Raw genomic sequence first — 22274 nt, 5'->3', positions numbered from 1 at the left:
ATTCCCTCCCCCACTTCAACAAGAGCTCTGTCTCCTTCTTGGCTCCTCAGCTTCCCCATCCCCCAACACCTCAAGGACCAGGAAGCAGAGCCACCCCAGCATAGCTGGGACTGAAACCCCCCTTTTGTGGCCAGGGTTTCCCAGTCAAGGTCACCTGAGCCTGGCTCCATCCTCCCCCCAAGGTATGCTGAGCAGCGAGGGGCTGAGGCTGGGTGGGCTGCCGCCTTCTCTCTGGCCCCTGCTTTCTCTCCGGCCCCCACCTCCCCACTTCCGGGCCTGGCTCCTTCGGAGCTGAAGGGGGAGCAGCAGGAGTAGGCATGCCTGTGCCCCCCGCCTGCCTAGACACTATACCCTACGGGGTCCTGGCACACCCCTTGGGTAGCCTGGGAAGAGGCCTCAGCTCCATCCAACTCCCTGGGCTGAGATGGGGCTCCCAACCCCTGGGTGCAGTTTTCCCTTCTCTGCAACTAGGATAACTACTGGGAGACTATCTGGGTGAATTCAGGAGGACAGAGGTCCCCAACCTGGCCCAGCTTCAGGGTGGACATACTGGTGTCTTTGGTTGGCGTCTCCCTTACCTCTCCCAAGCAGTAATGTTCTGGTGGCAAAACACAGCTATCTCAAAAATTAGGAGTTATTTATCCAGTGGGGCCCCCAGCCCCAGCTCCAGCCAACTCCCGCCAGCACTGCCTCATTCCTAGGCCAACTTTGATACCCTCCTGTCCCATCTGCTGGGGGCAACCCCGCCAAGCCCCCGCTGTCCCCTGCCCACTTCACCACTGGGACCCCTGGTTCAAACTAGGGATTGACCGCAGGCTCTCCAAGCTCACCTACACACTACATACAGCCGTGCCCCTAATCCAGGCAGGACTCTGCTGTAAAAGCAAACCCAAGGTGGCAGCTGGGGGTCAAGGGGCTGGCACAATGCTGGGAGAAATGCCTCAGGACTGGAGGTCCTCCCACTCTGCTGATGTGGGAGACCCCCCACGTGGGGACTGCCAGTATACCGCTTCCCTTCGGGCTGGCCAGTCCTCAAGTAGAGACACTGAGGTAGGGCAAGCGCATCTACGGGGAAGAGCGCTGCCTCGGGCGTTAATGGGAGAGAGAGCTGAGGCAGAAGGGGGATCGGAACTCCCGCTCCAGAAGCGTGAAGGTGGGGGTGTATGAGAGCACCCACCCAGAACCTTGCAGGAAAAAGTTGCTTTGCACATGGGTGACCCCGCAGGCCACATCATCCACACATCCATACGCCGCCCCGTAGGTAAGGGGTCCGGGCCTCCAGGACAGGTAAGAATCCCACCCCAGCCTTGTTGCCCCTATGTCCGCGGGCAGCCCCCCGGCTCGACGAGACCCGCTCCCCGGACACTTCTGCGGAGTTGCAGTGCCGCGGGTCCCAGAGGGGTCGCGGGGTGGCCCGGCCGCCTGCCCGCTCCCTCCCGGTTCCCGCTGCACTCACCTCTTCCGCAGCGGCGGGGCCTGGGCGCCCGGGCGGCGGCGGCGGCACGGAGCGGCTCCCGTTGGGCCGGTCCGCGCTAGCGGCCCCCCGGGGCCATGGCCCTGCCCGCGACCTCTCGCCGCTGCGCCTCAGCCGGGATCGGCGCCGCGGCCGCGGCTTAACCGGTTCCGCGGGCTTCGGGCGCGTCAGCAGCCGAGGGCCCGGGCCCCAGCCCGGGCCATGGGAAGGCTCAGGGGCGCTCGGGGCCGCCTCCCCTGGGGTGGGCTGCGGGCGCCCCCTGGCCGGCGCGCCGAGGGCGCATTCCCCAGCGCGGGGCGCGGGCGGTGGCGCGCACTCGGCTTCGAAGCGCTGCGCTCTCCTGGCTGCTGGACCCGGGCCGGGCGGCCGCGCTGGGCTGCACGGTTCCTCGCGGCGTACCCAGGTCCTGCGCTGCGCTCGGGGCTCTCCGGACCGCCGCGGTTCGTTCGCTCGCTCTGGTCTCGCGGCCGCCGGCGGGACGGGGCGCTCAGAGCCGCGCGGGGAGCGCCGGCAATTGGCCGCCCGTGGGCGACATTTGCATAGCGCAGCCCCGCCCCGCCCGGCCCGCCCAGCCCCACCCCCGGGGCGGGACCCGCCCAGCCACCGCCCCGCCCCCGCTCCACCTGTCCGTGGGCCGGGCTCAGGGTTCCCAGGCGGTGGGCACCCCGCGCCGGGGGAGACTAGTCTGCACCCCTCGCCCCCGCCCCCGCTTCGCGGGCGGCGCCCCCGCCCCGCCCTGGCTTTGTCTCTCTGTGAATACACCGCACACATCGCGCCTGGTGTTTACCCGGGCATTCAACTCCCTGGCGAGAAGGGCTGCAGCGCCAGGGAGCAACGAGCCTGCGCTCACCTGAGCACCCCCTTCCGCGTCCCTCATTCCCACTCGCCGCCGGCCGTGCCCCTGGTCCCGTGCGTGGGCCCCGCGGCGCAGGACCCCTGACTGCCCGGGCTGCTCAGCAGGTGGCGGTGCAGCCCCTGGGACGGCTGGCACCGCCGGACCTTCCCGCGGGCTCAGCCTCCAGCCTAGGCCAGGTCGGGGGCAGCCCAGCCACACAGCTCTCTCCAGCCATTCAACGACTCCCCGTGATCGCCTCAATCGCCAGCCCTTATTTCAGGCCAGCAGCTCCCACAGACTCTCCTTATAGTTCCATACCTTAGAGAGGCCAGATCAGCTAGCACCTTCTCTCCTCAAGGGGACATTTGCTTTCAAATGGCCTGGTGATGAGCCAATGGCTCAGCAACTGAGAAGGGCCTACCGTGACCCCAGGAAGGGACCCTCTGCCCAACCCAACTTTCCAAGGTCATGGCCTCACCACCAGGACCACTTCTCAGCCCTGCCCCGGGCACCCTGCGGAGGCTCCCAGGGGCGTTGGCCCTTTGTCCTCTCCTTCATCCTCTTCCTGTTCTGTCTTCTGTGCCCTCCTCTTTCTCCTCTTTCCTTTCTCCTCTTCTCCCTCTGCCTCTCCTTCCTTCTCCCCTCTCTTCTCCCTCTTCCTCTCTCCTCTTCTCCCTCTTTTCCATCTCCCTCCTTTTCCTCCTTCTCCTCTCTTCTCCTGGATTTTTCCTTCTCTGCCCTCTCCTCCTCTCCCTTCTCTTCCTCCACCCCATGCATTTCCTTCTCTTCTTCCTCCTCCTTCTTCCTGCTCTTTACCCTCTTCCTCCTTTCTCTTTTTCTTCTCACTCCTCCTCTCCGCCTTCTTCCTCCTCCCACTTCTCTCCCTGGCTAGCAAGACCTCCAGGAAAAGACCTCTCTCCCTCTGACCCATTGACTGGTTGACTCCAAGTGCAAGGTGGAGCTGGGCACTAGGGATCCTGCTGAGGGTCTCCTGACTCAGGACTTAGAGTGCTGCCTCATGCTCCAAGCACAGGCAGGGCATTTGAGGTGAGCAAACACCATCCTGGAGTTATGGAGCTGCTGTGACAGCACCTGCACCTCTCCCCTTTGTCACGCCTCATTGAAAACACTGTGACAATCCATCTCTCCTCATCCCCACTCATCTGTATGAGGGTCACCCCTGAGGTCACCACCACTGCACCACCATCACCAATACAGCTTAAGCCACCATCTCTATGGCTTCCAACACCATCCCTTCCATCCTCTCACAGCCTCCATGGTCTCCTTATAGCCTGGCCACTTCTATCACTATCTCCAGCATCATTAGCATCATGCTGGTTACCACGGAAGAGCTGTCAGGACTTGCCAGAGACTCCAGTGTACTGGGTTGGGAAGGAAAGAGGCTCAACTGATCTGTTCATGAAGCTCCACTCAGACACACAGAATAGGCCCAGCACACAGAGGCCTTCAATGGCAGGGAGACCAGGGAAGGGGGCCAGGAAGAGGGCAAAGAGCTAGAATTGAGCCTGGCTACATGGGGTGGAATGCCAATTCCTTCCTAAGCAATTCGAGAGGGCTGAATAATCATACAAAAAAAATTGTTATTGCAGCAGTGAATCCACACTGAGCCCTTGCTCTGTGTCAGTGCTGGGGTGAGCATTTTGTATCATCATAATATGTTGTTATAGTTTGTGTGTGTGTGTGCATATACATATCGGCAGACCTCATTTTATTGTGGTTTATTGCGTTTTGCAGATATTGTGTTTTCTGAAGTTGAAGGTTTGTTGCAACTCTGTGTCGAGCAAGTCTATCAGCACCATTTTTCCAACAGCATGTGCTCACTTCATTAGCATTTTTTAGCAATAAAGTATTTTTTAATTAAGATATGTACATTTTTTAGACATAATGCTATCACACACTTAACAGACTACAGTATAGTGTAAACATGACTTTTATATGCACTGGGAAACCAAAAAAATTTGTGAGTTGCTTTATTACAATGTTAGCTTTATTGTGGTGGTCTGGAACCAAACCCGCCATATCTCCGAGGTATATTATATTATTCAGGGGAATATTGTATAGCTTTTCACAATTTTGTCTTCAATTTCAGAGGTCCACAGACCCCTCAAAACCAGCTCTGGATACCAGGTTGGGAGGCATTGCATGCCAGGAAGTTTTGCGGTTATTCACCCCCAGGTGCTTCACAATTGGGCTGAGAAGCAGGCCCTGTTGTCCCCATTGTACAGTTGAGCATGAGGGAGGAGAGTGGGGAGGTAGGGAGGGTTGGGGGAGGCCTGGAGCCACCAGGCTGTGGTGCCTGGAGAAGGCATTTTCAGTGGCTGTGGGAAAGCTCCAGGACAGGAAGGCCAGGCTGCAGGGCCCACATGGAGCCAAGGGCCTGCAACCCTGATAGGCACGCAGGAGCTGGATGCCTGCTGGAGTCCCACAGGGCACTTCTGGAACTCCACGCATCTTTATCATGTGAATAAGAGAGCAAAAATAAGAGAGCAAATCCCTGCAGCACCAGATCGGAGAGGGAACACAGCCAAGAAGCCAAGACTCAGGGAGTCAACTCCCTGCCCTACTCTCAGCTCCTCTGGACTGGCTGCCCCCCACCCTGTGCTCTCCTTGACACCCACAATCCTTCTGTCCTCCTCTCCAGAAGCCACTCTGCTGTTCTAACTCCACCTGAGAACCACCCAGGATGCCCTGTGGCGTCATCTGAAGGGAGAGAGACAGGCTGGCTTCCTACTGGCCTGACCTCCCTCCTGTTGGGTAGGACACTCAGATCTTAGGCCTAAGTTTCATTCAGCCTCCCCCATGGCCCGCCCTGGTGCTAGTCTGGTCACGCAGGTGAAGGGGTGTGTGCAGACACAGCTGGTTAGGCCAGGTCCAGCTCCTGCACTGAATCCACCTCTGGAATACCCTCCTGGGGCAGCCTCCTCCTCCTTCCCAGGTGTGCCCCGGCTGCGTGGGATACACTGCACTCGGATCTGGGTGGACCTGGCTGAGCTTCAGGGTGGACTTCATAGTCTTGAGGTCCTGGAGCTTGTGAGGGGTGACCGAGCCAACAGTGAGGGTTACAACAGGGAAGTCATTGGCCCAGCCCCCACCTGGATGATGGTGCCAGCAACGGGCAGGAAAACCTTGAAGCTTTCCTCCCGCAAATACACCCTGCCCTTCACCCTGGCCTGGACTTTGTTTCTGGCGGTGGTTGTGCCTGTTTCTCTTCCTTTTGGCTCTTCCAGGATGCATGGGAACTGAACTGCAGCCTCCGGCCTCCTGCTGCAGGTCCCTGTTGTCTGCCTCCCCGTGGCTCACCTCAGGTGGGGAGAGGGAAGCCTGGAGGTGCACTGGGGCCTGCCCTCCTGGCCTCTGCACACGAAGGCTGGACTTGGAGGGCCTGGGCCTCAGAGACCCTCCATCCCCATTGGATGAGGGCGGCAGCCACACCAGCACTCCCTCACCTCCTCCCCTGCCCTAGTCTTAGGGGGGAACTTGTTCCCTGGGCCTGGCAGGGCAAGCAGGCCCCGGCCCGCCCAGCCCCAGCGTCGCTGGCTCAGGTTTCCTCGCTTTCTGGTTTTCTCATCTCCCCTGCCCCAGGCGCTGTTGCCTGCTCTCTGGCCCAGCCCCCACCCACTAGGAACTGGATCCCAGGGAGGGGGAGTGTTGGGAAGGGGGCTGGAGAGGGGGCTCGGGGCAGGCGGTTGGGTGGCACCAGGAGGAGGCAGGCCATGGGGACTCACTGAGGTTCCGTGTGCAGCCTTCTCCTGCCCAGCCTGCCCCAGGGGCTGGCTCTGAGCCGATCAAAAGCTGGAATGACCTGGCCTCTCCCTAAAGCTGCCTCCAAGCCGTCTCTGCTGTTGTTCCCTCTACCACAAATGTTCTTCCCGGACTTCAGCACCAGTCTAAACCCTGTGTTTCCTCTAGACGTGGGCCCTTAGCTGCCTCTTTCACCAATAAACACTGCCCTTTTCAGCACAGGCTCAGTATCCCTTCTTCATCCTTCTGCACTGGGCCCCTCAGGCATCCCGAGCCTTTTCCAGGAGCTCTAGACTCTCACCTCTGGGCCTTGGCACATGCTGTTCCCCTGTACCTGGAATGTCTTTCTTGTCTCCTTCTAGATCCAGACAGGCATCATCTCCTAGGAAGCCAGTCCTCATGGCTGGGTCAGGAGCTTCACTGGGCCCCTGCAGGTCCTACACCCCTTTTCAGACATTAAAAGATCCTGCCCTGGGGACCCAGACCCTTCTGTGTTCTCCCAGTGGGCCCCACATGAATCTATCAGCAACTGCTTCCATGTGAGTCCAGAGCGAGAAAGGGACACGGGGCACTGAGATCCTTGCCTGTTACCCCACACCCTTCATTCTGTGTGTCTATGCATGTGTGTGTCTGTGTGTATGTTGGATAGTAAGAGAGGTGGGGTTGAGTGGGCCTAAGCTCGGCTGGATTCGAAGTGACCTGTGACCGTTGGCCAGCCTGAGTACATCCTGTTTAGACAGAGCCCAGACAGCCATCCCTCACTCCCTTGGGCCTACCCAGCCCCCACTGGGGAGCCCAGTCCTGGGCCTAGAGCTCAGTCTGTATCTGGTTCTGGCGAGGGCTCCCCAGTAAGAGTCTGGGTGGAAGCACTGGCAGGGGTTTTGTCTCTGGGTACCTAGGCCCTGGGTCAGTAATGATCAGGCAGCCCCAGCCATGAAAGTGGTAAGGGTGAAGGGGGAGGGGACTTGACTGAGGAGCCCCTCCCTGTGTGGAATAAACATTGCATCAGGAACCCAAACAGGGGGCCCACACTAGCAACTTCTCAGCTTTCTTCAGCTCAGCAGGGGCGGCTCTGTCCTTTCAGCCTGAACCCTTTCTTTCTCATCTACACCCAAACCATCAGCAAATACTTTTTTGTTTGTTTGGTTTTTTTTTTTTGAGATGGAGTCTCACTCTGTGGCCCAGGCTGGAGTGCAGTGGCACGATCTCAGCTCACTGCAAGCTCTGCCTCCTGGGCTCACACCATTCTCCTGCCTCAGCCTCCCGAGTAGCTGGGACTACAGGCGCCCGCCACCACACCCGACTAATTTTTTGTATTTTTAGTAGAGACAGGGTTTCCCTGTGTTGGCCAGGATGGTCTAAATCTCCTGACCTCGTGATCTGCCTGCTTTAGCCTCCCAAAGTGCTGGGATTACAGGCATGAGCCTCCACACCTGGCCAAGCAAATACGTTAAATTTCACCCTCAGAACACATGAAATATCAGGTGGCCACTTTTCGCCTCCTGGGCCAGCAGAGGAGCCTCGTTAAGATGGAAGCCAGGTCCCGCCTCTCTCACTCATCGCTCTCCATGGCTCCTACTTTATTGAGAGTCAAAGCCAAATCCTTGGGCCATGCACGATGGCTCACGCCTGTAATCCCAGCACTTCGGGAGGCCGAGGTGGGCAGATCACTTGAGGTCGGGAATTCAAGACCAGCCGGGCCAATATGGTGAAACCCCATCTCTACCAAAAAGTACAAAAATTAGCCAGATGTGGTGGCCTGCGCCTGTAATCAATCCCAGTTACTCAGGAGGCCGAGGAAGGAGAATTGCTTGAACCCGCGAGGCGGGGATTGCATTGAGCCAAGACTGCGCCACTGCACTGCAGCCTGGGCTACAGAGCAAGACTCTGTCACAAAAAAAAAAAAAAAACCTACAAAAATCTAGCTGGGTGTGGTGGTATGTGCCTGTGGCCCCTGCTACTCTGGAGGCTGAGGCGGGAGGATTGCTTGAGCCTAGGAGGTTGAGGCTGCAGTGAGCCGTGATTGCACCACTGCACTCCAGCCTGGGCCACAGAGTGAGACTCCATCTTGACCAAAAACTAAAACAGAAAACAAAGCCAAATCCTTGGAGTGGTCATCAACACCCCTTCACCCTGCACACCTCTTCCCCACCTCTCTGACTTGTGTCCTCCTCCCTCTTCCTCCCACTCCAGGCACACTCCAGCCTCAGGGCCCTGCAGCAACCGTTCCCTTGGCCTGGATGCCCATCCCAGACACCTCCATGGCTTCTCCCTCACCTCCTTCAGGCCTTTGCTCAGATATTACCTCCTCAGTGATGCCCATCCTGACCACCACCATCTCCAGCATTCTGCATCTCCACTTACCTTCCCTCTCTTCTTCCCTTACCTTCCCTCTCTTTTTCTTATTCCAACATACGATATAATTTACTTATTTTCATGCTAAGCTGCCAACCAAGAATGCAGAGATTGTTGTCTATCTATTGCTCCTCCTCCAGCACCCAGAATGGAGACAGACACGTGGTAGGTATTGAATGAATAACTCGATGGGGCTGTGAGCTGCTTTCCCCTCTCACCCTTACCTGGAGCTGAGAATGGGGCATGGAGAGATGCCCATTTGCTGTTTCCCCACACTGCTGAAGAGGTGGATGGAGGAGAGAGGGTCTTAAGTTGCAGCATCAAGGACTCAAGATAGACTCTGCTTTAACTTAAAAGGCATTGCAGCTTTAACCGTGAGCTCTCCAGGGACAGGCATAGTCCCTTAGGCAGAGGTGTTCCTCAGGACTAGGAGAGACCTAGGCAGCTCCCTGACAAAGCTGCGGTGACAGGCTCTGATCTTGGGAGGTTTCTGGCTGCCTCCCAGGCCTGCATCTGCTGCGCACACTCCCTCCATGTGTCTGTGTGGCCACAGTCCTGGGGGAGGGGGGCCCGAGGAGGGTCCTGCAGCCAGGACTGCAAGCTGAGATCTGGACTTACTTAGTTCCAAATGACTGGGGAATGTCCCTTCCATGACAGCGGTGGCGTGGCCTCCCCTAGTTCCTTGCTCCCAGCAGAGGAGTGGGGCCCAGATGAAAGCAGCCCCTCAAAAGGAGGGGGGGCTGGTGGGCAGACACTGGGCACCCTGTCATCCTGGTCCTCCTCCCTAAGCCTGGTTCCAGGTCATGCCCAAGGAGGAGTTGCGATATGAGATCACTGTCTCATATCTCAGACCAGAGATCTGAGGCCAGAGCATCCTATTTGGTCTCCAGCTTCCTCCAGCCAGGAACTGGAGAGGCTTCACCAGCAAGACCTCTGTGCACAGCAGTGCCCGGACTGGCCAATGAGGAGTGCTCCCTCCAGAGAATCTCCTCTTTACAGCACATGGCTTCAGTGCCTTGGAGGAGGGTTGGGGAAGCAGGGCCAGTACCAGGTGGGTGGGGAGCCAGGCCTGCCCTGGCCAGCCTGGTGCTTGCTCCTGAGCACTCCATCTAGAAAGATGAACCCTTTTGCTCCCTGTGTTGTGGTTGGTAGGTCAGTGAGGCCAAGTCTGTGCTCCTATCCTGGGGTTTCGGTGCCTTCTTGTGCTGTTAGGATTTGATTTTCAAACGTGACTGGGCAGAGTGGGGGCCTTGGCCAATCCTGACTTCTGACCCTTCACCCAGGGATTGGAGGCTTCACCGGTGCTATCTGTGAACTCCCGCGAAGAATTAGGCCTCAGGCTCACCTTGACTGGAACATCATTGTGTACCCATTTAATAGAGGGGAATGCCGAGACCTTGAGGAGTAAGGGCCTGGATGACCTTATTGGGGATTCCAGGCTAGGACCCCCTTGAATGTTGGACTGCAACCTCTGAAAGAATAAAGGACAACGGCTGACTTGAGGGTGATGGGGCATATGCCATAGTCAGATTTCAGGTTTTAAAACATCCCCCTGGCTACTGGGGTGCCAGAGAGGAGGCTGTGAATATCCAGGAGAGAAAGAACAGGGTCTGCCTAGAGCACGGGGGCTGCTGCCGGGTACCTTCAGACTTGGCCAGGTTCCCTCCTCCTTCCCTAGAAGCCCATCCATTGGGCCTGATCTGGAGTTTTGAGGTGGGGAGAGAGGCCTCCTCCCCGGCTTCTATATACCCCAGACACATGGCTCACTGGGTAGGTCTCCCTCCCCCACTCTCCTGAGACAGCAGTTTAAGATTTAATCCCAGGACAAGTTTCTGCAAAGCCCATGTTTGCTGCCAGAAGGAGCAGGGACCAACCTAGATGGAGGGATAAGAGACAGAGGAGGGGTGAGGAAGGGATTGCGGAGGGCTGCATGGGGAGAGGTCATAAATCCAGACTTCACACTCTGTCCTGCCTGGCTCCAGCATCCACAGACTAAATCAGGGAAACCTAGTTCCTGCCACCCAGAGGAATGCATTCATGTGGCCACAACCTGCCTGTGCACCTACTGTGTACCACCCCCTGCCCTACCTTAGTCATGGTCACAGCTCGCAGGGAAGTCTCTGGGCTCAAGCAGCAGCCCTGGCTGGCCCAGCCCTTGACAGGTCCAGGTTACCCAGGACACCAGTAGAGGGCACAGAGGGGCAATGCTGCTACAGAGGGAGACAACCACCCTCCCTCTACCACTGACATTTGGAGTCCTCATAGTCCCTGAGGGGAAACTGAGGCCTGTGCCCCTCTGCCTTGTCTTTTCTTTTTTCTTTCTTTCTTTCTTTTTTTTTTTTTTCTGAGACAGAGTCTCGCTCTGTCATCCATGCTGGAGTGCAATGGCACGATCTCGGCTCACTGCAACCTCCGCCTCCCAGGTTCAAGCGATTCTCCTGCCTCAGCCTCCCGAGTAGCTGGAATTACAGGTGCACGCCACCAAGCCCAGATAATTTTTGTATTTTTAGTAGAGACCAGTTTTCACCATGTTGGTCAGGCTGGTCTTGAACTCCTAAACTCGTGATCCACCTGCTTGGCCTCCCAAAGTGCTGGGATTACAGGCATGAGCCACTGCGCCCAGCCTCTTTTCTTTTGTCTTTGAGACGTAGTCTCGCTCTGTCGCCCAGGCTGGAGTGCAGTGGTGTGATCTCGGCTCACTGCAACCTCTGCCTCCTGGGTTCAAGCGATTCTCCTGCCTCTGCCTCCTGAATAGCTGGGATTACAGGTGTGTGTCACCACGCCCAGATAATTTTTTGTATTTTTAGTAGAGATGGATTTTTGCCATGTTGGCCAGGCTGGTCTAGAACTCCTGACCTCAAGTGATCTGTCACCTCGGCCTCCCAAAGTGCTGGGATTACAGGCATGAGCCACTGCACCGGCCGCCTTGTCTTTTTTTAAAGCACCCCCAGGACCATCTTCCTCCGCGGGTTGCCTAGCCTCTTCCCACCCCACTCCCCTCTGCAGTCCTCAGTGCTCCTCTTCTCTCTGTGCGCCCGGCTCCTGCCCAGGGAAGGGGAGGCATGTGGAAATCTGACTGGCTGGAACCAGGAGGAAATTCACCCCCGCTGTGTTAACCCCCCAGTCTCAGTGCTTGGATTTGAGGGTGGAGCCAGGCCAGGGTTGGTCTGCCACTCCCAGATTCCCCTGAGGGACAGGTCCCACAGATCACCTGCTCAGCCCCAGCTTCCCTCCCTGGACTGCCTGAGGCTTCACCCTTCCCTTGCCCCAGCTGCCCCACCAGCTGAGTGTGCCCAGCGGTCAGTACCCTCTATAGCCAAGGACATATGGACCCCAGACCAAGAGGGGTCATAACCTGCTGGGGGGGCCAAAGATGGGACCTTAGGCAGCACCCCAAGGCCCTAGGTTGACCATAGCCTCAGGAAACCCACGTTTCCCAGCCAGGGGTCTGGTTGGGCCTAGGCTATGCTATGGGGGCCCAGTTCTCCAGAGAGGGGCCGGGTAGTGCTGGCTGGGGCCTATTCTCTCAACAACATGGGTGTTTCTTGCTGGAGTTTTAGTTGCTCAGAGAGGGGACCCAGTGCTGGGGCCTTGGCCTGCTTAGATCTCTGGCTCGGTGTCCAGGCTGGACCCTTACCACCCTGTGGCTTTCAGGTAGGGAAGAGGAAAACATGTGGGCTGGGCTGAGGTGGGGACACAAGACATGTGAGCCCTGCCACCAGCCAGAGTTTAGAGGAAATTCTGTGTTGAATCCCTGAACATCCCCCTAGCTGCTCCTAGAGTTTTCTCACAATGGGGCTTATTGTGGGGGGAATCTTGGAGCTCCCAGCTGTCTGGACAGGTGTCAGTTCCTGCTCCCTTTGTCACCTACTGATCAAGGACACCCCCCGCCAAGAAAGATGGGACTGCGTGGCTGTGGGTCCTAGACTCTAGAGAACCCAACCCTACCCATGCTGTCCCCACAGGCCCAGGATGAGGCCTCCACATCTTCCCAGGCAGAGACCCTCACCCGGTACAGGCCAGACTGCAGACAAAGATACCACTTGACAGATAGGGAGACAGGGGCCCTGAAAGGTCTGCGTGGAAGGTCGGAGTCAGAACAAGCAAAGCACAGTTGGCCTGCTTTGTGGCCGAGGCAGAGGCAGCAGGGGGATCTCTGGAGGGGCTCCCAGGCAAACCTCAGGGCCTGGAGGCCCTCAGGTCACTCTATGGTTTCTGAAGGGCCACCCCTCATCATGTCTTCTATCATGTTGCCCTCAAGCCTTTGCCTAGGCTATTCTCCCACCAGGAATGCCTTTCCCTGTCTCCCTAGCGGGGTTCTCCTGGTCCTTCTGGCCTGGTTCAAATGCACTGTGTCTTGGTCATATGTCATTCATTCATGCTGGGTGTGGTGGCTCACGCCTGTAATCCCAGCACTTTGGGAGGCTGAGGTGGCAGATCACCTGAGGTCGGGAGTTCGAGACCAGCTTGGCCAACATGGAGAAACCCCGTCTCTATTAAAAATACAAATATTAGCTGGGCGTGGTGGCACATGCCTATAATCCCAGCTACTCGGGAGGCTGAGACAGGAGAATCTCTTGAACCCGGGAGGCGGAAGTTGTGGTGAACTGAGATTGCACCACTGCACTCCAGCCTGGGCAAAAAGAGGGAAACTCCATCTCAAAAAAAAAAAAAAAAAAAAAGATGTCATTCATTCATTCTGCAACCTCATGTCCTCCCAACCCTGTGTTGGCACCAGCCACAGAGACTGATTTCTCCACCCCAATTTGGCCTGAAATTTCAACAAAATTGTCTTGGAATAGTGGTAGGCAAGGCCTACAGGCCTAGAGCTGAGAGATGGGAGCCACCTCAGAAAGGCAGAAGGGGAGATTTTGATGGCCTAGAGTTAGGGGAATTTGAATGCCTAAGGACCCGGGCTCCACCCAGACCCCACACCTTGGAGAGGTCCTGTAAGGGCTGGGAGATAGACTCCAGGCAGAAAAGGGCCTGGCATCTAGGGAAACCTGAGCCTCTCAGAAGTGTGGAGCCTAAGCCGGGCATGGTGGCTCATGTCTGTAATCCCAGCACTTTGGGAGGCCAAGGCAGGTGGATCATGAGGTCAAGAGATTGAGACCATCTTGGCCAACATGGTGAAACTCCATCTCTACTAAAAATACAAAACATTAGCTGGGTGTGGTGGCACATGCCTGTAGTCCCAGCTACTTGGGAGGCTGAGGCAGAGGCAGGAGAATCGCTTGAACCCAGGAGGTGGAGGTTGCAGTGAGACGAGATCACGCCACTGCACTCCATCCTGGTGACAGAGTGAGACTCCGTCTTAAAAAAAAAAAAAGAAGTCCGGGCACGGTGGCTCATGCCTGTAATCCCGGCACTTTGGGAGGCCAAGGCGGGTGGATCATGAGGTCAGGAGATCGAGATCATCCTGGCTTACACGGTGAAACCCTGTCTCTACTAAAAATACAAAAAAATTAGCCGGGCGTGGTGGCGGGCGCCTGTGGTCCCACCTGCTCGGGAGGCTGAGGCAGGAGAATGGCGTGAACCCAGGAGGCGGAGCTTGCAGTGAGCCAAGATGGCGCCACTGCATTCCAGCCTGGGAGACAGAGCGAGACTCCATCTCAAAAAAAGAAAAAGAAAAAGAAGTGTGGAGCCTGGGCAGAGGTGGAAGCCCTGCAGCTCTGGCCTTGCTGTCCACAGGGCTCTTCAGACCTCACCAGGCCTTACTCGACCTACCCAAACATCAGAATCATGAGGCTGGGGCTGGGCGTGGTGGCTCACACCTGTAATCCCAGCACTTTGGGAGGCAGAAGTGGGCAGATCACTTGAGGTCAGGAGTTCAAGACCAGCCTGGCCAACATGGTGAAACCCTGTCTCTAGTAAAAATACAAAAATTAGTTGAGTGTGGTGGTGGGCACCTGTAGTCTCAGTTACTTGGAAGCCTGAGGCAGGAGAATTGCTTGAAGCCGGGAGGCAGAGGTTGCAGTGAGCCGAGATTGCACCACTGCACTCCAGCCTAGGGACAGAGCAAGAATCCTTCTCAAAAATGAAAGAAAGAAGAAAGAGAGAAAGAGAGAAAGAAAGGAAGGAAGGAAGGAAGAAAGGAAAGAAAGAAAGAGAGAGAAAGTAAGGAAGAGAGGGAGGGAGGAAGGAAGGAAGGAAAGAAGGAAGGAGAGAGACAAAGAAAGAAAGAAAGAAAAAGAAAGAGACAGAAAGAGAAAGAGAGAGACCAGACGCAGTGGCTCACGCCTGTAATCCCAGCACTCTGGGTGGCCGAGGCAGGTGGATCACCTGAGGTCAGGAGTTCAAGAGCAGCCTGGCCAACATGGTGAAACCCTGTCTCTACTAAAAATACAAAAATTAGCTGGGCTTGGTGGCGCACGCCTGTAGTCTCAGCTACTCGGGAGGCTGAGGCAGGAGAATTGCTTGAACCTGGGAGGCAGAGGTTGCAGTGAGCCCAGTGCACTCCAGCTTGAGCGAGAGAGTGAGACTCTGTCAAAAAAAAAAAGAAAAAAGAAAGAGGAAGGAAGGAAGGGAGAGAGAGAGACAGAAAGAAAGAAAGAAAGAAAGAAAGAAAGAAAGAAAGAAAGAAAGAAAAGAAAAGGAAAGAAAACAAGGAAGGAAGGAGGGAGGGAAGGAATGAGGGAAGAGAGAGAAAGAAAAGAAAGAAAGAAAGAAAGAAGAAAGAAAAAGAAAGAAAGAAGAAAGAAAAAGAAAGAAAGAAAAAGAAGAGAGGAAGGAAGGATGGAAGGAAGGAAGGGCCGGGCGCGGTGGCTCATGCCTGTAATCCCAGCACTTTGGGAGGCCGAGATGGGTGGATCACAAGGTCAGGAGATTGAGACCATTCTGGCTAATACAGTGAAACCCTGTCTCTACTAAAAATACAAAAGAATTAGCTGGACGTGGTGGCGGGCACCTGTGGTCCCACCTAATCTGGAGGCTGAGGCAGGAGAATGGTGTGAACCCTGGAGGTGGAGCTTGCAGCGAGCCAAGATTGCGCCACTGCACTCCAGCCTGGGCGACAGAGCGAGACCCCATGGAAAGAAAGAAAGAAAGAAAGAAAGAAAAAAAGAAAGAGAGAGAGAGGGAGGGAGGGAGGGAGGGAGCAAGGAAGGAAGGAAGGAAGGAAAGAAGGAAGGAAGGAGGGAAGGAGAAGGAAAGAAAAAAAAGAGAGAAGAAGGACTCACGAGGCTGGGGCTGGGGGTGCATGTGCACGCATGTGCATGGACGCCTCCTGCAGGCCCCATGATGGGCCCCAGCTCCAGGCCTGGCTGTATGAGGCTCTCACCCTCCCATGGGTATGCACTTGCCCCCAGTTTCCTCAGCTGTTAAATGAGAGCAAGTTTCTTCCTCACAGGGTGCCGAAAGGATCAAACTAGCCACCGAGCACAGATTGCCGGAGCAGCATCTAGTGTGTAGGGCGCAGGCTCCCTGAGTCACCTTTGTTATGACTTATCAGCCCTCCCCGGTAGATGACAGGGAGACGTAGACGCCATCACTGGGGCACAAGAGACTGTGGAATTGCTCTGTTGCGGCCCCAGGAGAGAGTGGGGGCGCATTTATCTTCTCATCCAACCGAAGGGTCCACTCAGGTTGGGGCAGTCCTCAACTGCCCAGCCTTGACCCTGTCTTCTGCCATTGCTTCTGATCTTTGGGCATCCAGGCCTGCATGGTGGCCCACCTAGCACACACGTTACACCCACCGGAGCCTCCACAGGCAAAGACAACATTACTGTCCTCCGCAGGACCAGGGCGGGTGGAGGAGGGACCAGCACGTGGGTTGTCAGGGGAATGGCAGGCCACCTGGGTCTCCTGGGCCCCCACCTCTCTCCTTCCTTAAATAGGACAGCCCCACTCTGGCTCTCCCACTCTGGCTCTGACCCCAACACCCAGCCCACAGTTCCTGTAAACAATTATGCACCAGGAGCTGTAGGGCAAGAAGATGAAGCCCCAGGTCAGCAGGGAGGTGTCCGGGTGACGGGGTGCAGAGGGTGCCCTGGGGCTGAGAGGGTGACTGAAGGAAGGCTGCCTAGAGGAGGTGACACTGCTGCTGGGCCTTAAAGGACGCATCACAGATATCCTGTCCTGAAGGATGAGTGAACAGTGGTGGGAGAGCCTGGAGGCATGCCCTGCCATGGTGTGTCCTGGAGGCCAGAGTGTGGTGCTGTCTGGGGCAGGACTCAGGCAGCTTCACAACCTCCTAGCGATGGGTGATAGGGTGAGGGCAGCGGCAGTGGCACATGAGCTTCACCTGGGCTGGCTCTTCCAAGGGCCAGGGGGGCCTGGACGGAGCAGCAGAGCAGCAGAGTGAAGGCAGACGTGGGCCCTCGAACAGTCCTTGGGGAGGACCCAGCCGGAGGTGCCTAGGCTAGGTGGGCAGGCTCAGCTGGCCCCAGGAAGCAGAGCTGCACGGAACCAGGGGCTGGGGCTGGGCACTGCTGGAGACTGCCAGCCTGGGGGGCCTTTGCTGCCTCTGTGAGGACTCTGTTGGTCGAATGAGACCCATCCTTCCCCGAGGGATGGGACAACCCATCTGTAGGACAAGCTGCTTTCAGGAGGGGTGGCAAACGGGTGCGCCTTGAGGCTTCTACGAGGGCACGAGGCCATAGGCCAGGTCCCTCTCATACCTTCTGCCCTCCCCAGTTTCCCAGCATCCTCCTCTGCACTCCTGGCTGCCATCCAAGCACACCCATGGAGGGTCCTTGTACAGGGGCAGGGCCTGTCTGCTTCCAAGGGGGCAGGGTTTACTCCTCAGAGTCCCTGCCCTAGTGCCCTAATTCATAAGATACTGAGGCCCAGATACTGAGGGAGAAGGCTGTGCCCAAGGTACCAAGGAGCTGAGGGCTTCAGCCTCCCAGGGTCCTCACCAGCCTTTCTCCCAGGCCCCCATGAATGAGCACTCCTAGAAGGAGGAGTGGGCTCAGGGATGGTCCTGGGCCATCCCTAACCCTCCCCCAAGCCCTGCCTGGGGATTCCCTGCCCCGATGGGCTGCGGCTCCTCTAAGGGCTTCTCTGGGAACAGATCTGCTGAGCCAGTTTGGGGGATAGAGCGGTAGGGGTGCCGTCAGGGGGTCAGGTGGGTTGTAGGCAGGGGCTCCAATCTCCCCCAGGAGCTGTCTGTGCTCCAGGTGTTAGGCAGGGCTCTTGGCTACCCCGCCCCCACCAGGTGTGGGGCTTCCAGCAGCCCAGAGGCCCCTTTGTCCTTTATCGTCTCTGCCTCCTTGGTGGCAGCATACAGATAAGCATCCCATTTGGGGCTGAAATTCCAGCCTGGCTGCCCATTCTACCACCTGGGGGGCTTGGGGCTGCCAGTTACAGCTACACCCTCTGTCCTGCCGTGGGACCCACCCAAAGTGTCCAGTCCACCCAGCACCTCCAGCTGCACATTTTCCCCAGGACCCCTCCCCAGCCTTCGCACTGGGACCTGCACCTCTCACCCCCTTGGCCGTAGAGGTGCATGTCCCCCTGCCTGTCCGTGCACACAGGCACGTATCTCATTACCCCCGGCCCTCTTCTTGATGACAGTGAGCCACTTTGACGCCCCTTCCCCTCCCCCTATTCACACCCCACAGAGTTGGGGCTGGGAGGTTCGCCCAGGGGCCCCTGACCTACCAGTGAGAGGCTGACACAGAAGAGCTGACCCCTGTGTGATCCCAAGGACCCCAGGGTGACCCCCAAAGACACGCATCCCCGAGACTTCCTCAACCACCCCTCTCAGGGACTCTCCATCTCCATCTCCCAGCCCCGTCTCAGCCTCTCTTCTTCCCTGTCTCCCCCTCCCCCCTCATTAAGCCTCCTAAACCCGCCAGCTCCCTGAAGCAGGAAATTGCATTCTGCCAAGATTAAATGGGCTTGAACGCCCTGCCTCTGCCCGCAAGGGAGGGGAGCTGAAAGGAGCCAAGTTTGCTGGGGGTGGGGTCCCTGGGACACTGAACCCCAGGTTGGAGAGGGGACTCAGAAAGGTGGAGTACTTCAGGATGGGGTAGGGCTCCCTGAAGGGCAGAGGGGAGAAGACAGGGTCTGCAGGGAGGCAGGGAGCTGGGGATGTTGGCCCCTCCCCACTGCAGGGGGAATGAGGAGCCAGGAGGGGAAGTCACTCTGTGGGGGTGGGGGCAGATTCTGATTAAGTGGGGGAAAGGGGGAAAGGGTGGAAGGAAATGGTGATTGGGAGGTGAGAGAGGATGCCTGTCAGGTTGAGACCTGACTCACAGGAAATGGGAAATGAACTTTGAGGGGTGTACTCTCTCTCCAAGGGGTGCATTTTGGAGTGCCCAGAGGGAGGGGCTGGTACACTCTCACTCCCCACTGGCACAAGGTCTAAGAGGAAGGGTACAGTCAGAGACCCCTGTGTACCCTTGGGCCATTGAGGAGCTCACACACAGCTCTACAGGCAGCAGGACCCCACAACCCACCCCCTGCGCTGTCAGAAAGTCTCCATCAGGATACAGAGAGCACTGAAGTCAGGCAGGGAGAGAGGCATTGAGGTCAACACCTCCCAGCAGAGGCCCAGATCCCATTGTCCACAGCAGCCCCACACTCCATAGACTGGGGGGACAATCATCCCCACTTCTCAGCTGAGAGAGCTCTGAGACCTAGCCAGGCTTCCCTCCCTCCTCTCCCCATCACAGGGCCCCCTAACAAGGCCAATTCCAGATGTGAGGGGAGTGGGGAAAGAAGATATGCCAGCCCCTTCTTTCTCCAGGTGGGCGAGGGCAGGCACAGCTGGGCTGTGTGGGCCTCAGATGGGCGCCTGAGTCTAGGTCAGGCCTTCAGAGCCTGGTAAAGCCAAGGGGACTGGAGCCAGGGCTGGAGGAGCAGGAGGGAGCACAGCTGGTCCCAGGTGGTCAGGCATCATCCCTGAGAGCACCTGTCCTGGAGAGTCATGGCCAGGGGTGACGATGCTTATGGTGCACCCCTGGTGTGAGAGCCTGTCCTTGCCATAGGGGTGGGGGTGGGCACTGGGACACTGGGAAAGACAGCTCGGCTCAGCCGGTGTGGTGGTGGGGAATGCAGGGCCGTGGGAAGAGTCTCTGAAGGGAAGCAAAGGCCAGAAAAGGAGACAGGTTGTCTGGGGAAGGCCCAAGAGAACCTCAGCCTGGCTGAATGCGGGCAGGCAGTGGTCAGCCATGAGGCTGGGGGCTCAGAGGTCCATGTGGTCATCAGGCAAGATTGGGGCAATGGACAGCTGCGGAGCTCATGCGAGCTCCAGAGCAGGGCTGAGGGGCTTCCTCCCTCACCTTCCCCAATCCCACCCCACTGAGGGCCCCAGCCCCACGGTCACTTCAGGCAGCCTGAGCTGGGCAGACAGTTTCCAAAGAAGGAGGCTGGGTCTGTTTTGGCAGCTGTTGAAAAGCAGGCTTCCCCTGCCCAGATGTGAGGGAACTGACACTGTGTCTGGGAGGAGTAGGCAGTGGGGCAGGTGTATGCCGGGCTAGGGCATCCGGGGCCACCCCAGCAGGCCCTGGGGGAAGATAATCCAGTCCCTGGGAATGGGGTGCCTGCTGGGAAGTGACACAGCTGAGTTCAGACCAGGCTGAGGTGACAAGTACCCCCTGAGTCTGCACCTCCAATGTTCCTGGCCTGAATGTCCTCTGATCACTCCCTGGTTGCATTCTCAGTCTCCAGGGAGATGTGTGGAGCCTGCTGCCAGTGAGATTTGAGCTGGCCTGTGCTTCAGATTCCTGACAGGCAGTGACCCAGGGCCCTGCCTTTGCCACATCCCGGCTGCATGTCCCTAGGCTGTCCGTGGTGGACAGGGAGTTCCCCCAGAACCTCTGCTCAGAGCTCCCTTTCATCCTCTTCCCCTGAGACCAGCTCTCAGAGAAAGCCTGAATAGACCCCTTCAGCCATAAGGGGCTCCTCCCAGGTCCTCATATAGCTTCCTGCTCTGGGCTGCAGTTGGAGACCCCTGGACCCAGCTAGCTCAGCTCAGGGACTTCTCCTCAAAGCCCCCAGCCCCTCCCTTGTATCTCACAACTCCTGTGGCCCCATCACAGGTCGGACCACTCTTTATCTGCTTTTTCCTCCTTTTCCAGGAGACTCAGCTCTGGGAGGACGGCCACCATCTCTGGCTCAGTCACATTTGGTCCCCAGATTCTGGCAACCCTGGGTAAAAGCTCAGTCACCTGACCTAGTGACGACCACAAGGTACATTTCCAAAGCTCTACGGAAAACTCACTCACTGCCTCACAGAACAGCCTGTGTGCCCCTCCCTTTCCCAGGCCCCAGGGTAGGGGGGTCAGGGAGAGGGGGTGGGTGGTGGACATGAGCCAGATATGGTTTCTGCCTACAGGGAGCTCAGAATCTTTCTGGAAGACAGGACTGGGAGCAAGGAAAGAGGCACCTGAGAGACCTGGGATGGGTGGCCTGTCAATGTTTCAAGAGACCAAGGTGGGCTGTTGACACCAGGGTTGCTTCCGGAGGTTCAGGGAGCACAGTATTGTCAGATGTGCTAGGAGGGCCTCCTCAGCTGCTCATCTTCAGCCCCGTCAGCCAGCAGCGGGGACCACCTCAATGCCCCCCAAGTACCCCCCATACTCCCAACTCTGGTCTCCTCTTTGTCTGTGTGCCGGGGTCACCTAAGCAGCTAACAGTACAGCATATATACCCCACCCCTCAGCAACCACCCCTACCCACGCTGACAGATCCCCTGAAAGCCTCAGCTCCATGCCGCAGGAACTGGGCCCTCACTCCCTACCAGGAGGCCCATTCTACCCCCCTGTGCTGGTGGAGAGCCCTGCCTTGGCGACCTGAATCAGTGCCTCCTCCCTGTGCCCTGGTTAGGCAATGCCGCCTGGCCCCACTGTCCAGCTCCCAGGCTGGGGAGATAATGAGCTGTGGGATTTTGGACAAATCTCCCGTCCTCTCTGAACCTTTGAGTTTCCCAGCTCTAAAGCTGGGATGTTCATGTCTTGACTGGCAGGAGGCTGCCCCAAGAACAAGGCCATATGTCCTGGGTTTGGGCTGGCACATCACACAGGCTATAAACAGCATGGGCCCTTCCTCCACTTCTTTTTTAAGTGCTTCCTTGGGAGGAAGACTTCTGGGCCTTGATACCTGATCCTGGAGCCCCAGGGACCCTGCTCCACTAAGACAGAGCAATTCAAGTTTCTTGATGTTGAATTCTTGGCTAGTCTAGGAACACTGGCCTGGTGGAATTTGAGGCCCGCCACCTGCATGATATGGATACATAAGATGTGGGGGGCAGGTTGCTGGCTCTGACCCTAAAGGAAAAACGGTGCCAGGAGTCTAGGCCGTGCCAGAACCTAAGCCATCAGGTGTTCGGGATGGAGCTGCCTCCATTCCCACCCTGCTGACCTCTGTCCTGCCCCAGCAGAGGGGCTTGCATCAGCCCTGCGCCCTTCTGGTCTCTCTCTCACTTGCACTCCTTGTCTGACTGGACAGGGTCTCCAGTGCTGCACAAGCCTGCCAGGGCCAGCCAACTTTCTTGGAGGGCCTGCCCCAGCTAGCTGTTGCTTTAGCTGATGCCAAGCACAAGCCAGCCACACTGAGAGGGGTTGACCAGATGCCTGCTGCTCACATGACAAACCCCCAGCACCCCTGACCCCCAGGACTTCAGCCATAGGGTCTCAAGCATGGAGGCCTTGGGGGAGCTGTAGTGGGGCTCAGGATCAGCTCCGTGATATTGGGAGCTCTGTGGAGAGCCGGGGAGCCACAGATTGCTGGGGGAAGAAGGGAGTCTGGCCTTCCTTGGGTTCCGCAACCCAAGAAGGTTATGAGGGACCTGGGAGATAAGCATCCCCCTCTGCTTGCCCAGCTGCTGGACCCCTTGCTGAGAGGGGAGGGAAAGCTCAGGACTAGGGTTCCCTACATGGGACATCCCCACACTCACCTATG

At 57.4% G+C, this 22274-nt stretch overlaps 2 protein-coding genes and 1 long non-coding RNA gene across 11 annotated transcripts in view, besides 7 other annotated features; 1 reads left to right on the top strand and 2 right to left on the bottom strand.

Annotated features, from left to right (window-relative positions):
* SEMA3F (semaphorin 3F) overlaps positions 1 to 1963 on the bottom strand; it is a 34018-nt gene extending 32055 nt beyond the window's left edge. For 5 of the 9 annotated variants that reach the window (NM_004186.5, XM_005265382.5, XM_047448701.1 and 2 more), the window contains exon 1: positions 1457 to 1697. The gene's annotated coding sequence lies outside the window, so the exon portion shown is untranslated. Of the gene's footprint in view, positions 1 to 1177 lie in introns of all 9 variants that reach the window. The other 4 variants (XM_011533998.3, XM_047448700.1, NM_001318798.2 and 1 more) reach the window with 2 other exon arrangements.
* SEMA3F-AS1 (SEMA3F antisense RNA 1) overlaps positions 936 to 22274 on the top strand; it is a 40064-nt gene continuing 18725 nt past the window's right edge. Inside the window, exons 1-2 of the long non-coding RNA NR_135301.1 lie at positions 936 to 1287; positions 20453 to 20564. This is a non-coding gene — a long non-coding RNA (SEMA3F antisense RNA 1). The remainder of the gene's footprint in view (positions 1288 to 20452; positions 20565 to 22274) is intronic.
* LOC124909484 (basic proline-rich protein-like) lies at positions 1232 to 2351 on the bottom strand. Its single transcript, XM_047449434.1, has 2 exons — positions 2325 to 2351; positions 1232 to 1960 (listed from the first exon to the last, which is right to left on the bottom strand). Exons 1-2 carry the CDS (start codon positions 2349 to 2351, stop codon positions 1232 to 1234), a joined length of 756 nt encoding a protein of 251 aa, XP_047305390.1.
* Positions 1713 to 2182: a silencer, noted in NCBI's record as "silent region_14382". NCBI's record gives its function as "represses an Ori minimal core promoter by ATAC-STARR-seq in GM12878 lymphoblastoid cells {active_cell/tissue: GM12878}" and the evidence as "EXISTENCE:reporter gene assay evidence [ECO:0000049][PMID:35858748]".
* Positions 2213 to 2352: a silencer, noted in NCBI's record as "silent region_14381". NCBI's record gives its function as "represses an Ori minimal core promoter by ATAC-STARR-seq in GM12878 lymphoblastoid cells {active_cell/tissue: GM12878}" and the evidence as "EXISTENCE:reporter gene assay evidence [ECO:0000049][PMID:35858748]".
* Positions 2363 to 2422: a silencer, noted in NCBI's record as "silent region_14380". NCBI's record gives its function as "represses an Ori minimal core promoter by ATAC-STARR-seq in GM12878 lymphoblastoid cells {active_cell/tissue: GM12878}" and the evidence as "EXISTENCE:reporter gene assay evidence [ECO:0000049][PMID:35858748]".
* Positions 5702 to 6373: an enhancer, noted in NCBI's record as "H3K4me1 hESC enhancer chr3:50188081-50188752 (GRCh37/hg19 assembly coordinates)". NCBI's record gives its function as "activates a minimal SCP1, AML or CMV promoter by ChIP-STARR-seq in naive H9 embryonic stem cells {active_cell/tissue: H9 hESC(naive)}" and the evidence as "EXISTENCE:reporter gene assay evidence [ECO:0000049][PMID:30033119]".
* Positions 15660 to 16221: an enhancer, noted in NCBI's record as "H3K4me1 hESC enhancer chr3:50178233-50178794 (GRCh37/hg19 assembly coordinates)". NCBI's record gives its function as "activates a minimal SCP1, AML or CMV promoter by ChIP-STARR-seq in naive and primed H9 embryonic stem cells {active_cell/tissue: H9 hESC(naive and primed)}" and the evidence as "EXISTENCE:reporter gene assay evidence [ECO:0000049][PMID:30033119]".
* Positions 16222 to 16783: an enhancer, noted in NCBI's record as "H3K27ac-H3K4me1 hESC enhancer chr3:50177671-50178232 (GRCh37/hg19 assembly coordinates)". NCBI's record gives its function as "activates a minimal SCP1, AML or CMV promoter by ChIP-STARR-seq in primed H9 embryonic stem cells {active_cell/tissue: H9 hESC(primed)}" and the evidence as "EXISTENCE:reporter gene assay evidence [ECO:0000049][PMID:30033119]".
* Positions 21154 to 21745: an enhancer, noted in NCBI's record as "H3K27ac-H3K4me1 hESC enhancer chr3:50172709-50173300 (GRCh37/hg19 assembly coordinates)". NCBI's record gives its function as "activates a minimal SCP1, AML or CMV promoter by ChIP-STARR-seq in naive H9 embryonic stem cells {active_cell/tissue: H9 hESC(naive)}" and the evidence as "EXISTENCE:reporter gene assay evidence [ECO:0000049][PMID:30033119]".

Source organism: Homo sapiens, chromosome 3 (genome assembly GCF_000001405.40).
Source record: "Homo sapiens chromosome 3, GRCh38.p14 Primary Assembly".
NCBI classification, from domain to species: domain Eukaryota; kingdom Metazoa; phylum Chordata; class Mammalia; order Primates; family Hominidae; genus Homo; species Homo sapiens.
This window is presented reverse-complemented; position numbering and strand designations above follow the sequence as displayed.